Raw genomic sequence first — 13419 nt, 5'->3', positions numbered from 1 at the left:
TTTTTAATGGGGTCAGTACCAAGATATTTGAAACTTTCGCAAAATGGCCTGCAGGCTCCACCTCTTTGGCCTTTGACTCTGGCTGACGTTATTTTGAGACAAGGAATGAGGGCCTCCCTGCTGATTCCCACCGAAGTATTTGTGGTGGCTGAGAGTGGCTTGTTTAAAAAAAATGCAGAGTGCAGGGCTGAGAGGGAGTGGTAGTTCATGCTGGGGCAAAAGCCAGATGTTCAGTGTGATCTTCTGGGCTTTGCTTGCTGAGCTTGTCATGGGGACACTATGTGGGCAGCACGGAGGTTGGGGTACCAGATGTGCTTCCTGTCCTCAGTAAAGAACTTGGAGTATGTTGTTCCTCAAATATCTTTTGATGAATGGGTGCTCCAGGAGTTTCTACTGACAGGCTACATTTTATCCATATGCAGAGGGGCAGCCCTTCTCTTTTGTTCTTGAAGTATTCTTTCGCTGTGACAGTGTCTCATCCAGCAGCTGCAATGCCACAGCTAGGGGGTTGTCTTTCAGCTGGTGGGATGAATTACGCACAGGCATCTACCTTGCTGTTCTTTGGCCCTGTAGCTTGCATTTGTGAGTTCACAGGGAAAGGTGCGAGATGCTACCCGTGACTGTGGCATTCACTCTGGGAAGAACTGCTTGGACTGGCTCTAACTAACACCTTATGCACACTTTCAGGGAGTAGAGGCCTTACATTTGCTTTGATATTAACAGCCCAGTTTTTCTGTCATTGTGATAAAGCAGGAATGTGTGATTATTTTTCTTTTATTTCTATTTTTAAAAAATGCTTATTATGTCCTCCACTTAGGTACATGTCTGTTGTGAACAGCTCATTCCTGTAAAATGCTGCTCATCATTGCTGCAAGTCAGTGCAACAAACTGTGCATATGAATTACTGTTGAAAGAGGTATTGGTTTAGCAGCACAAATGATTGGGTTATATTTCTCTCAAACTAAGGGACGTTTGGGAGAGGTGGGGAGATAATTTTCCCATCTGTTTCCTGAACTCTGTTAGATATCCAGGGGCAGAGCTGTTTGTTACTCTAGCTGAATCTTTATGTAGAAAAAGGATGGCCTGATTATTCATTCAGTCAGAGAGATATTTGTTCTTTCGATTAATATTTGTGGAATATATAAAGCACTTGGAAACATGAGTGAACAGAAGCAGACAAAATCCCTGACTTCTAGAAGCTTATATTCGTGTGTGTGTGTGTGTGTGTGTGTGTGTGTGTGTGTGTGTAGGGGAACATAAACAATAAACATTATAAAGAAGTGATTATGTTGGATGAAATAAGTGTTATGGAAAACGTATAAGTAGAACAAGGTGAGGGGGATAGAGAATACAAGGTGGAAGAAGAGCAAACTATGGGATTGAACTGAGTGATCAGAGCAAGCTTCCCATAGAAAATGGATCTGAACAAAAATTGGAAGGAGGTAAGAGTGTTAGCTCAGCAGGATGAAGAACTAGAGCAAAGGCCTAAGGTAGGTGTGCATTTTCATGAGACTGTGTTAATATCATGTATTTCAGATTACTCATTTTGGTGAGTTATTTGTCTTATAAACTCTGGGTGCTTCTGAGACACCAGTGCCTGTTTTTGGAATGATTTCATAAAACTTTCCAAGTTGAAGAGAGCCTGAGGGGAGGGTGAGGTTCAAATACGAGTTGTGAGGGTGGTAAGAGATGATGACAGCTACCATCTATTGAGTGTTTATCATCCGAAAGGCAGGGCTGACCACATGGCCTGCCACCCATGCAGTGCCACGGGGTCCACACTTGGTTTGATGCTGTGCTGTCACCATCTTGAAAATCTTAATTCTTTTTGAACTGGGGACCTTACATTTTCATTTTGCACTGGGTTTCACAAATTACGTAGCTGGTCCTGCTGAAAGACATTGTGTCTAGTGCTTTACAAATATTATGCCATTTAACCCTTGTAATGACCCAGTGAAATGAGCCATTTTTATTACTTTTATTTTACATATAAGAAAAATGAGGCTTCGTGAGTTTAAGCCACTTGGCTCAGTTCCCACAGCTATTTAGTGATAGAACCAGGATTCAAACCCATGTTTGCCTGCCTGCAAGTACTTGCCTATCAGGCTGTCTGAGTGAAGAATCCTGACTTAAAGAGAAGGAACTGAATAAGAGGTTGGGAGAGAGTGATTGGAATATAGGAACTGCTGAGCCTGAAAGCAGCTAATGTTTAAATGAGGCTGACAGTGGCAGCCACCAAACCTTCCTAGTGAGATCACTTTTGTTGCTCTTACTAGGGATTTAGTTACTACATGCATGATTGCTAATGCTCTGTTTTAGCAAACCTGTCACATACTTGATTTAAACAATTTAGAATGTTCAAGTTACCCAAGGCTGAGATTATGATGTTTCTCAGGAGCCTTCTGTTAACCGTTAGGAGCAATGTTTTTTTTCATTTGGTTAGTTATGAAGACATCTTGGTCTACAAGGACAAAGGCAGACAGGTTCAGAGTCTACAAAATAATGAAGCATATGGATAGGGCAAAGATGGACTGATCATTAGATCCTGAATTGCTAAAGCTCTGGGCTTCCTCTTGAAGCTTAAAAAATTGTTTCCATACAGATGATGAAATGTTATTTTAATTCAGTGAGTACTGATTTTAGGAAAGCTGTTGCTTCAAGATGGAATACAGGCTAAAATTGGTTCAGAAAAGATGGCAAATCTAGAAATCAGGAGAATATCTCTTGGGGTTCGGTACCACCGTGAGAAGAAACCTTGCCTCTTTCCCCAGACCTGCCTGTATGTTGGACATTTCTGCCATTTGTATTGTATTCCTATAAAATTCTCTGAAAATTACTTTCTGGGAATTGTCTGTGCTTTTGTAATTTCTATTTTATTTTATTTTATTTTATTTTATTTTTGAGATGGGTCTTGTTCTGACACCCAGACTAGAGTGCAGTTGCTCAATCATGGCTCACTGCAGGCTTAACCTTCCAGGCTCAAGTGATCCTCCCACCTCAGCCTCCAGAGTAGCTGGGAGTATCAGTGTGTGCCACCATGCCTGGCTAATTTTTTTCTTCTTTTTTTTTGGTAGAAACGGGATCTCAGTATGTTGCCCAGGCTGGTCTCCAACTCCTGGGTTTAAGGGACCCTCTTGCCTTGGCCTCCCAAAGTGCTGGGATTACAGGTGTGAGCCACTGTGCTCAGCCCCCTTTTGCAATTTAAAGAGCAAAATAATCTATAAATTTTAAAATGTATTTTATATATGTATAAACTGTATCTGGAAGGATGCTCAAGAAGTGGATAATTTTTGGGAAAGCAGCTTGGGGAAGTGGAAGTCAAGAGATGAAGGGAAGCATGTCTACACACTATACCTGTTGGTACTATTCAGATTTTTACCTCGTCACTATGTCTAGAAAATGGAAGAAATACAACTTGTAGGCACCATGTAAAACTGGACTAGAGGTAATTTTCAACCAAGTGTTCTTGGGGGAAAAAGGGAGCTTCAGTACTATATAGAAACTCAACACCACTCAAGGTCAGTGGAGGCGTTGGATGAAGAACAGGGGAAGTGGGAAGGCCCCATGGAAAGAGGCTTTAGGGGGAGAGGTTGGCAGGTGGTTTGCCCATGATAAACATCAAGATCTTGATAATGTTCTCCTTTCTTCTATCTCAGTTTAGCCATCTGGAAAATAAAACAATTTTTGCAATTTTCGCCATGATTATATCCTTTTAAAAAAGTGTATCATAAAAACTAAGTCTTTGTGAAAGTAACAACAGAAGTTCTGCTTGTTTAAAATGCAGAATTCCTATAAAGCCAAGTTATTTGTAAAATCATTTGGTGGTTATGCTAATACAGTTTTATATCTGGTTGGTTCTTCAAGTGAAACCACTGGTCCCAGACAGTGGTAGGTAGGGAGTTGGGGGAATATTCGACCTGCCTGGTGTCCAGATGGAAAGGCCATCTGGCTTCCATGTCTTACTGAGTGCTGAAAAGGAGTTGGCTGATCTCACAGACTGTGTGGTTTCCTGTTCCTCCCGCCTGGCCCGGAGAGTGATATGATTTCAATGCGATATTGAAGCTTTTGGTTTGATGTTCCACTTTGGAGTTAACTCCTAGGGTTGGCCCCAGGCCAGGTTCTGAAGGGGCACCCGGGTCCTCATTGGCTGAGAATGTTATTACTTATGGTCACATGACCTCCACAAGCTGAATAAATGTAGTGAGTTCTAACGGGAGACAGAATTGGGAAGTAAGTATAATTTTTCCAGACCCTTGTGGCACCTTTCAACATTCTCGCCCCTTTTGTGTTCCCCTCCTTTCTTAGACATCAAGTGTTCACTGTAATGTTCTCTTTCCAATTTCATCCCTTCAAATTTTGCTGTCAGGAAAGATTTGATAAGCTTTCACTAGAAATTTTAGTGTTAGTAAGATTTAACATGTTAACCCTAAATGGGCATTTATATTTAACAATAATTACTTCAGGTCAAAAGGGTGAATCTCCACTTGGAGAACCTAGGGCGATAGCCAGGTAGTAGTGGGCGAATATTTGGGGAATGGGAGAGGAACCCTCACTGCCCTCCATTATTTCATAATGTGGCTCTTATTCATAAGGCAGCCTTGTTTATGTGTTGCTAATTTGTCTATGATCTAGAGGATTTCCCTTGGCTTAGCAAAAAATCTTTGACGGATTATTTTACTGTCTCTGAAATTGTTCTCATGATAGTAACATTGGTTGGGAGGTGGTAGACATAGGCACAGTCCTGAAAGATGAGAGGGCAGTACAGAGTTTTATATTTGCCCTCCTTCTCGAATGATCCCTGAGTTACAGTGTTCATGGGAAACAGGGGTCTCTGATGTGACATTGCTTTTGCAGGAGTTATAAGATATAGCATCTAGATTAATAATTGAATTAATTACAGTGCTTGCAGCTAGAAGTAACTGAAAATGGATTCAGATCGGCTCATACAGTAAGTAAATTATCTCATGTTGCAAGAGGTTGTGAAATAGAGCCCCTGGCCGGGCGCGGTGGCTGACGCCTGTAATCCCAGCACTTTGGGGGGCCAAGGCAGGTGGATCACAAGGTCAGGAGTTCAAGAGCAGCCTGGCCGAGATGGTGAAACCCTGTCTCTACTAAAAATACAAAAATTAGCTGGGCGTGGTGGCGGGCGCCTGTAATCCCAGCTACTCGGGAGGCTGAGGCAGGAGAATCCCTTGAACCTGGGGGGTGGAGGTTGCAGTGAGCCAAGATCATGCCACTGCACTCCAGCCTTGGTGACAGAGTGAGATTCTGTCTCAAAAAAAAAAAAAAAAAAAGAAAGAAAAGAAAAAAAAAGAAATAGAGCTCCTTGTTGGCTGATTCAGCAGTTCCTCAATGGACCTTGGTTCTGCCCATGTGCAGCTTTCATCCTCAGGTTGGATGTGTGATGGACATAGGAGTTACAGGGGTTACATTCAAAATGACAACATCCAGAGGAAGAAGAGAAGTTGTCTCTTTCTTGTGTCCCTTTTTTAGAATGGAAGAAACTTTTCTTACTAGCCCACTAGCTGATTTTTCTTAAAGCTTTATTGGTAAGGATTCGGTCATATGACCATTCTTAAGCCAATGGCTGGAAAGGAGAATGGGATTTATATTATCAGCTTAGATTAATCATATGGGGATGGAGACTCAACCAGCATGACCATTGGGATCATTAGTAAAATAGTCTGAGTTAACAATTCTTTCCTTAGTCAAAAGGTATGTTTCTTTTCTCATGAACATGGGCTAGCAACTAGAAAATTTAAAATTCACAGTAATTTGCCCTGGGCGCAAAACAGTAAACCCAAGTACTGTGCCACTCGCAGAGTTCTTTTGTTTTTTGTTTTTAAATAGAGACAGGGTCTCCTTATGTTGCCTAGGCTGGTCTTGAACCCCTGGGCTCAAGGGATCCTCTGCCTCGGCCTCCCACAGTGCTAGGATTACAGGCATGAGCTATCACGTCCGGCCCAGCAAAGTTCTAAGAATATTATTTAGCTGTGCTACCAATGCCCAGTGAAAGAAGACTATAGATGTAGAAATAGCCTCTTGAAAGTGCAGGGAAAGGCTAGGGAGGGGTGGGAGCCAGGAGGAGATTATGGCTATGTCTTGACTCACTAACTAGGAGATGTAGAATTAACTGTATTATCTGGACTCTTGGCGTCAGAGTAGAATACCAGGGCTGGAGGTAGCTAGCTGAGCCTGTAATCATGCTTACCATGCAGGACAAGAATGATTTGTTCTGTTTGGGATCGACAGCAGGTGGCAAGCTAAATGCCATTTTTCAAAGAAGCAATTTTTCCAGTTGCATATGGCTGTTCAAATATTGATGAGGGCACATGTGCCTGTCTGCAGCTAAAACTGCCGGCCTCAGCCTGACATGGCTCTACGCTGTCTGGTGACTCTCTTGGGGTAAATAGCCTTAAGCCTTAGCTGGGCATTTGGTAGGATTGAGGCCTATGGTTGCAGGGCATCTGAATTGTCCAAATGAGTGATCTTATGAGTGAGGGAGTGCTGCCCTTGTTTTCTGCCCCTGTGGAATCAGGATGGAAAGGAAATAATGAGACCCACTGTCTCTGGATCAACCTTGAGCCTATTTCTCTTTTTCCCTGCTCAGTGGATGCACCCTGGCCTTTCTAAATGAAGTGCTAAGGGATCTTGATTTTTCCTTGAATCAAATTGTATAGGTTATTCATGAGGCACATGGGAGAAGATGGGCCATTTTATCTATGGGGAATGTAAGACATAGAGCAGTAGAGATTTGCTCAGCACAAGTTCCTTGAGGACAGGAGACATGACTGTCTCTTCTATACCCTCATGGTCCTTAGTCAAGTGCAGGATGCCCAGAGAATCGTAAGTGCTTGATGCATAGTTAAGTAGAGTGAGGCAGTCCTGGAAAATGGATAAGCTGGGTGGCTTTGGCCTGTTTTTATATATTTTTAAAACTCTGGGCAAGACGTGGTAGCCCATGCTTGTAATCCCAGCGCTTTCAGAGGCTGAGGCAGGAGGATCGCTTGAGCCCAGGAGGTTGAGTTTACAGTGAGCTGTGATCACGCCTCTATACTCCGGACTGGGCAACAGAGTGAGACCCTGTCTCAAAATAAATAAATAAATGAGCAAACAAACAAATAAACTCTGGATTCTTGTAAACGGTTTTGCAAATGTGAAAATTCAGTATAATAGTGACTTGGGTAATTCAGTGTTGATATCTTTTCTTGTTTTGATTAGAGAACAAGGTGGGCGTGGGGTGATTGAAACAGTCCCTGTTTCCAGTGGGAGTGGAGTTGATGGCATGGTGGAAAGGGTGGGCTTTCAAGGCAGGCCATTTTGATGTTGAGGGACACAGGCTCTCTGGTGACCTTGGGTACATTACTTCACCTATTTGGATTTCAGTTTCTTTGCATGTCACTGCCTGATCCATAATAGAAGTACTTTTCCAACCTATCCCCTAAGTCAAATGTCTTCTCTTTGAGAACAAGGTGTCCCAACCTTAGGAGTCTGACATCATTCAGAAAGTGGAGAGAGCCTGTCATTATTCTCTCTCATGCATCTTTATTTCCTCTCCTCTCCAGCTCCTACATTGTGCTGTAAACACAGGCCTCTGCCTTGAACACATGTTTGCCAGATGCTCCCTCTTACTCATTTCTTTTCTCTTGTTTACTGCCAGGTTTTCTCAAGTGCGTGGTCACCAGCCATGGCCTCCATTTCCTTAGTCTCTACCCTGTATCCTCTGCCCGCTGGGTCCTACTGCTCAACCTCTCCCTGGCTGCTAAATCCAATAGTCTTTTCTCTGTCCTTACCTGCAGGGCCTCATGGGACTATTTGGCAATACTGACCACAGGATTGTCTCATAACTCGTTTTTGCTTTGGCTTCCATGACACTCTGGCAAGCTTAGTTCTTCCTCCTTTTCTGGCTTCCATACCAGCTGTTAAATGTGAGTGTTTTGGTACTTGGCCTTCTCTTCTCTCTGTATGTTCCCCTGGGCTCTGCTATAAACTTCAGTGCATCTGGTTCTCAGTTTTTTATACTTGTTATTTGTCTTTTGACGAAAAGCAGATCTTTGGAGTTTGACTCAAGCCTGCTAGGTCCACCTGAGCAGCAGAACAGCTCTGGCTGGGTAACCCTTGAATTTTCATGTGTTTCTTGATGTGTTTCAAAGAAGAGCTGGGATGTTGATCCTTCTTATCGCTGCACCCATTTATCTCAGGGCATGTTGAGTGACTCAGCTCTCTTGCAGTGTAAACCCAAGAGGAGCTCATGGGTCATTCCTGGGATTCAGCTGCTTCTACAGTCCGTGTCACTCATTAGAGGCAAGCTGTGTTTTGCCTAGACTTTTGCTTGTACTTTGGCTTGGGAAACCCTCTGTGGCATCCTGTGGGGGTAGGTCTAATCTTTTCGACTGTGTGGAAGGTCAATTCAAAAGTGAGACGTAACTTCTTAGATCACGTACCATATTTTCCTCTTGTGTGTACAGCTGCTCTGGGGCTCAGCTACAGTTACCTCATGTTGAATTGCCTGCTTTTGAGTTGCTGTATTCTGGTGTAGGTGTAATCTGTTTATTTGAACTTTACTGATATTACGAAGAGCTTTGGGGATTTTTTTTTAAAGAATTGAGATGGGTTATTCTGAACCATCCATATTTTAATGCCCGATTCTTGTTAGAATTATTAACAGTAGTTCTTGGAAGAGAGTTTTTCTTTGGAGGATAAAGCTTTTTTTTTTTTTTGAGGCAGAGTCTTGCTCTGTTGCCCAGGCTGGAGTGCAATGGCGTGATCTTGGCTCACTGCAACCTCCATGTCCCAGGATCAAGTGATTCTTGTGCCTCAGTCTCCCGAGTAGCTGGGATTACAGGTGCCCACCACCATGCCTGGCTAATTTTTTGTATTTTTAGTAGAGACAGAGTTTCGCTGTGTTGGCCAGGCTGGTCTCAAACTCCTAGCCTCAAGTGATCCACCTGCCTTGGCCTCCCAAAATGCTGGGATTACAGGCATGAGCCACTGTGCTCGGCCGTGCCTTTTGATCTATGAACTCATCACAGTACAATTTACTTCACGTCTTTGGTGATCACTTTGTAAATTCTACATTTTTATTACATGATCTCAAAATCCCAATGGTATTACATGTGTTATGCCCCTACCACTGAAGAATCTTTAAAAAATAAGCTATTTAAGGCCAGGCGCGGTGGCTCACGCCTGTAATCCCAGCACTTTGGGAGGCTGAGGTGGGTGGATCACGAGGTCAGGAGATCGAGACCATCCTGGCTAACACGGTGAAATCCCGTCTCTACTAAAAATACAAAAAAATTAGCCAGGTGTGGTGGTGGGTGCCTGTAGTCCCAGCTACTCGGGAGGCTGAGGCAGGAGAATAGCATGAACCCGGGAGGTGGAGCTTGCATTGAGCCGAGATCATGCCACTGCACTCCAGCCTGGGTGACGGAGCAAGACTCCGTCCCCAAAAAGAAAAAAAAAAAAGCTATGTAAAACAATGACAGCCACGACGACAGCAGCACCAGCAGCATTCAGTCGATTGTGTATTTCATTTGGGCAATTCAATTGGCAGGTGTAGTTTTGCGTTTTGTAGTCTCTGTTTTCTGACTTAAAACTTTGTTTAAGTGAAACCCAGACAAAATAAAGAATGGAAAAACAGAGACACAGAGGTAGGAAACATTTTTTTAACATTGGAAAAAAAAGTCCCTTCAGACTCCTTGGCAAATAAGAGGAGTCTGGGGAAAAAAAAATCTGCAAACAGTTTCCTAGTTGTCTGAGTGGAAAATCCTGGTTTTTCACATTTCATATCTTGGAAATGTCTGAATAGTTTTTGTTTAAAGGGAAATTCCTTTTGGCTGAGAAAGAGCTTGCAGGATTCAAACTGATAGGGTGATGTTTTTAGAAAACCTGGAGGAAATAGGATTTGTGATGAAAATGCTTTCTCAGTGGCCAATTGTGTTAAACCGAAATTTAAATCCAAGGTTACCAATCATAGAGTTTTAAAGGTTCAGCCATTAACTCCTTCCTTCCCCTCGCATCCTGTCTGTTTGCATCCTGGGGAAACCTCTCACATAGCTGGTCCTTCCTCCAATTCGAGGAACTTAACAAGCTGCTTGTCTAAGCATGTGCCTGTTCTAGGCAGGGGATAAACATTCTTGACCTGTGGCTTTCCAAGTAGAGTAGGAAGGAAGATGCGTCATTAAATTATAAGTCATTAAATGCCTGATACATGTTTTGCATGAGAGCTGTGTTTGAAGTATTTCTGTAGCAAAGCGGATGGAATGACAAATCTGAAGGGGGTGAAGAGTTGGGGAACACTTCATGGAGGAGCAAGTGATATTTGCAATGGGTGCTGAAGTATACATAGGAGTTCACCAGGCAGTGGGAACAGCAGCTACAGAATAGGAACGTGGAAAAAGTCATGACTGATCCTGGGAATCCCAAGTCATTTTATGTAGTTTGAGAGTAGGGTGCTCTATGGGGAGTCTTGGGAGATACCACAAGATCATGAGAGGTTTGTGTGCTTGGCAAATGACTTGGACATTCTTTTGTAAGCGGGAAGGTGGGAGGCTTTTAACAAGAGAGACCAGACAGGAGCAGAAATGTATTTTAGAAAGGATGGACTGGACGGCAGAATTGATAGTGACAAGTTGATCTTCTGGCTGGCTATTTCATCCATGGAGTAGAATAAGATGCCATGAGGGCCTGAACCCAACAGGGAGGAGTAGATGAATTCAAGAGAGGATAGGGGAGGTTAGACTGGAGATGTGATTACAGGGCATGAGGGCTATGGGAGATTTCTTGTTTTCTGGCTTGGAAGGCTGAGTTGACGGTGTTGCCGTTGACCTTGAATGGGAGTATTTGGAGGGAGGATGAGTTTGGCAGGGAAGATAATGAGTTCACTTTCAGGCACAGTAATTCTGGTGTACTTGCAGAACATTCACAGGAGCGACACGTAAAGGGCATTTGGAGACTTGGGTCTGGAGTTCTGGAGAAAGGTCTGGACTGGAGATGTAGATTTGGGTGTTAGGATCCTGGTGAGGGATTAGTGAAGCCAATAATCCATATAAGATAGTCCAGAAAGGTTAGAGTGAGAGGGAGGAGTTTGAGAGAAGGGCTGAGTGTGGAGCCCTGGGGGCACCAGAAGGATTGGCCAGGGAGAAGACCCTACAGATAGAACCCAGAAAGAATCATCAAAAAAAAAAAAAAAAAAACTGGAGAAAAGCCAGGAAAATTCCATCATAGGCTCCAAAATAGGGGAGAGTCGCTACAGAGTGGTCAGTACAAATAAGGGTTGAGTGTGCTATTCAGCTGACCGCCGAGTCCCCTGAGGACTTACTAGCATGTTAGCTCAGGGCGGTGTCTGTGTCTCTGTAGCCACAGGTCTTCTCTGTAGCAGACCTGTGTGCATGGGATGTGGCATTCTGCTGGGAAGGAGAGGCCTGGTTTCCAGGCGAGAGCACGAACTGCAGAAGGCCAGGAACTCAGAGTAAATGGACAAAGTGTAGAACACAGCGCTGCCTCTTTTGATTTTTTTGGAACAAGATTAATATCAGTCCTCAAAATTGGCATTGGAGACCATCACTGGTTCATTGGTGCTTGTGTAGTTTTATGAGGGTTCTTTCTTTCTCTCTTTCTTTTCTTTTTTCTTTCTTTTCCTTCCCTCCCTCCCTCCCTTCCTTCCTTTTTTTCCTTCCTTCCTTCCTTCTGTCTCTCTTTCTCTTCCTTTCTTGCTATGTTGCCCAGGCTGATCTTGAACTCCTGAGCTCAAGCCATCCTGCCCCCTCCACCTCTCAAAGTGCTGGGATTGCAGGCGTGAGCCACTGAGCCTGGCCTCTGAGGGTCCTTTCATCATTCTTCTCTCCAGATAAGTCCATCTATCTCTGGATGTCCTTCCCATCGGCTGGATGGAGTTTGTGCATGTGTCTGTTTTGTGACTGTGTCATTTGCAGTTCTTAGTTTTGGGGCTTTGCAAAAGGATAGCCTTTGTACTCATTAACCTGTTCAAGAGTGTTGGGATTCACCACATGACTCCAAGGTGTGAGTCTTTTCCTCTCTTTATTCTTCTGACTCTTCCACTAAGGAAGTATCAGGTGGATCCACTGAATGCCGAAAATGAGTTTGATCACAGAGGCATCAACAATATTCAAGTGGTAGAAACATAGAAACAAGCCCTAATTGGTTCCATTTTTGTATGACATAATAATAAGGACAGGTGAGGACAAATGGCTTTGTAATAAGAATATGAGCCTGCAGAAGGAACATTAAGTAAATAATTGTAGCTTCAAAGAAAATGAGCAGCTGCTGGCAATGCCCAGGTTTCAGGACCCGCAAAGGCACTCTGGCCAGACACATCCCTGCTCCCCTCTTGTGCCTCCCACGTGCCGTGGCTGGATTCTGGGTTCTGCCCTTGCTCTCTGTTTCACTGAATCTCTGTTCCTGTCATGGCCCTCAGGCCTGTCAGGGACATGAGGAACAGGTGTGGGAGGAGGAAGCCCTTCAGCTGGGCCTGAGGTCGGGCATGTGAGTACTGAGGACAGAGGTGGGTGCAGAGGAAGGAGAATTCTGCCTCAGACTGCACAGGGAGGAAAGGGCCACCCTTCACAGCCCAGAGCAGAGCAGGCTCTTTGAAGGAGACACAGAGTTTAGGATTCACTCCACAGTTTAGCTGTGTGGTGAATTAAATGGGTTTCTGAGGCCTGACTGGGAAACAGATGACTTTTTATCACATTATGTCAGTAAGAAAATGTCTTGTGAGTTTGAACCACCCGTGTTACAAACTTTTAAAAAAGGTAGAGAAAGGTGTGGTGGCTTATGTCTATAGTCCCAGCTACTTGCAGGAGGCCGGGGTGGGAGGATCGCCTGAGCCCAGGAGGTTGAGGCTGCAGTGAGCCATGATTGTGCCACTGTGCGCCACTCTGGGCAACAGAGCCAGATCCTGTCTCTCCAAAAACAGAAAGCATTTTAGAGCAGTTTTATGTTCACAGCAAAATTGAGCAGAAATACAAAAAGCTCCCGTGTATCTCTTGTCTCCCCAACACACAAAACCTGTCCCACCATCAGCATCCTGCTATTACAGACTTTTGGCATATGGAGTCATAAGCTGGGGTCACCTGTGGCAGCTTTTGATTTAAACTTAATTTTTAGAGATTAGTCACAGATAAGCCTCCCTTTGTAGTCCAGCAAGAAGCCAGATTGGCCACAAAAGCCTTGAACACCGAAGACTGTATCCTGTTTTTTGTTTTTTGTTTTTTTTTGCTACTGAAAACTTATTCAAACGACTAGGCACAGACCTATAGATTTCAGTACCATTAAAAAGTCAAACTGTGGTGCGGCATTTCCCTCCCTCTTTCCAGTTACAGATGACTTAGGCAGTAGATGTTATCCTTTGGAAAGAGATGGGATCTAGTGAGGAAACAGTATATATTTTTTGTAACC

The 13419-nt window shown here is 43.8% G+C and overlaps 1 protein-coding gene across 2 annotated transcripts in view, besides 2 other annotated features; it reads left to right on the top strand.

Annotated features, from left to right (window-relative positions):
- CREB3L2 (cAMP responsive element binding protein 3 like 2) overlaps positions 1-13419 on the top strand; it is a 127108-nt gene that overhangs the window by 1459 nt on the left and 112230 nt on the right. The gene's annotated exons all lie outside the window — the stretch shown is intronic.
- Positions 139-478: an enhancer, noted in NCBI's record as "active region_26736". NCBI's record gives its function as "activates an Ori minimal core promoter by ATAC-STARR-seq in GM12878 lymphoblastoid cells {active_cell/tissue: GM12878}" and the evidence as "EXISTENCE:reporter gene assay evidence [ECO:0000049][PMID:35858748]".
- Positions 12596-12705: an enhancer, noted in NCBI's record as "active region_26735". NCBI's record gives its function as "activates an Ori minimal core promoter by ATAC-STARR-seq in GM12878 lymphoblastoid cells {active_cell/tissue: GM12878}" and the evidence as "EXISTENCE:reporter gene assay evidence [ECO:0000049][PMID:35858748]".

Source organism: Homo sapiens, chromosome 7 (assembly GCF_000001405.40).
Source record: "Homo sapiens chromosome 7, GRCh38.p14 Primary Assembly".
NCBI lineage: Eukaryota > Metazoa > Chordata > Mammalia > Primates > Hominidae > Homo > Homo sapiens.
Note: the sequence above shows the minus strand (reverse complement) of the source record. Positions and strands in the feature narration are given on the sequence as shown.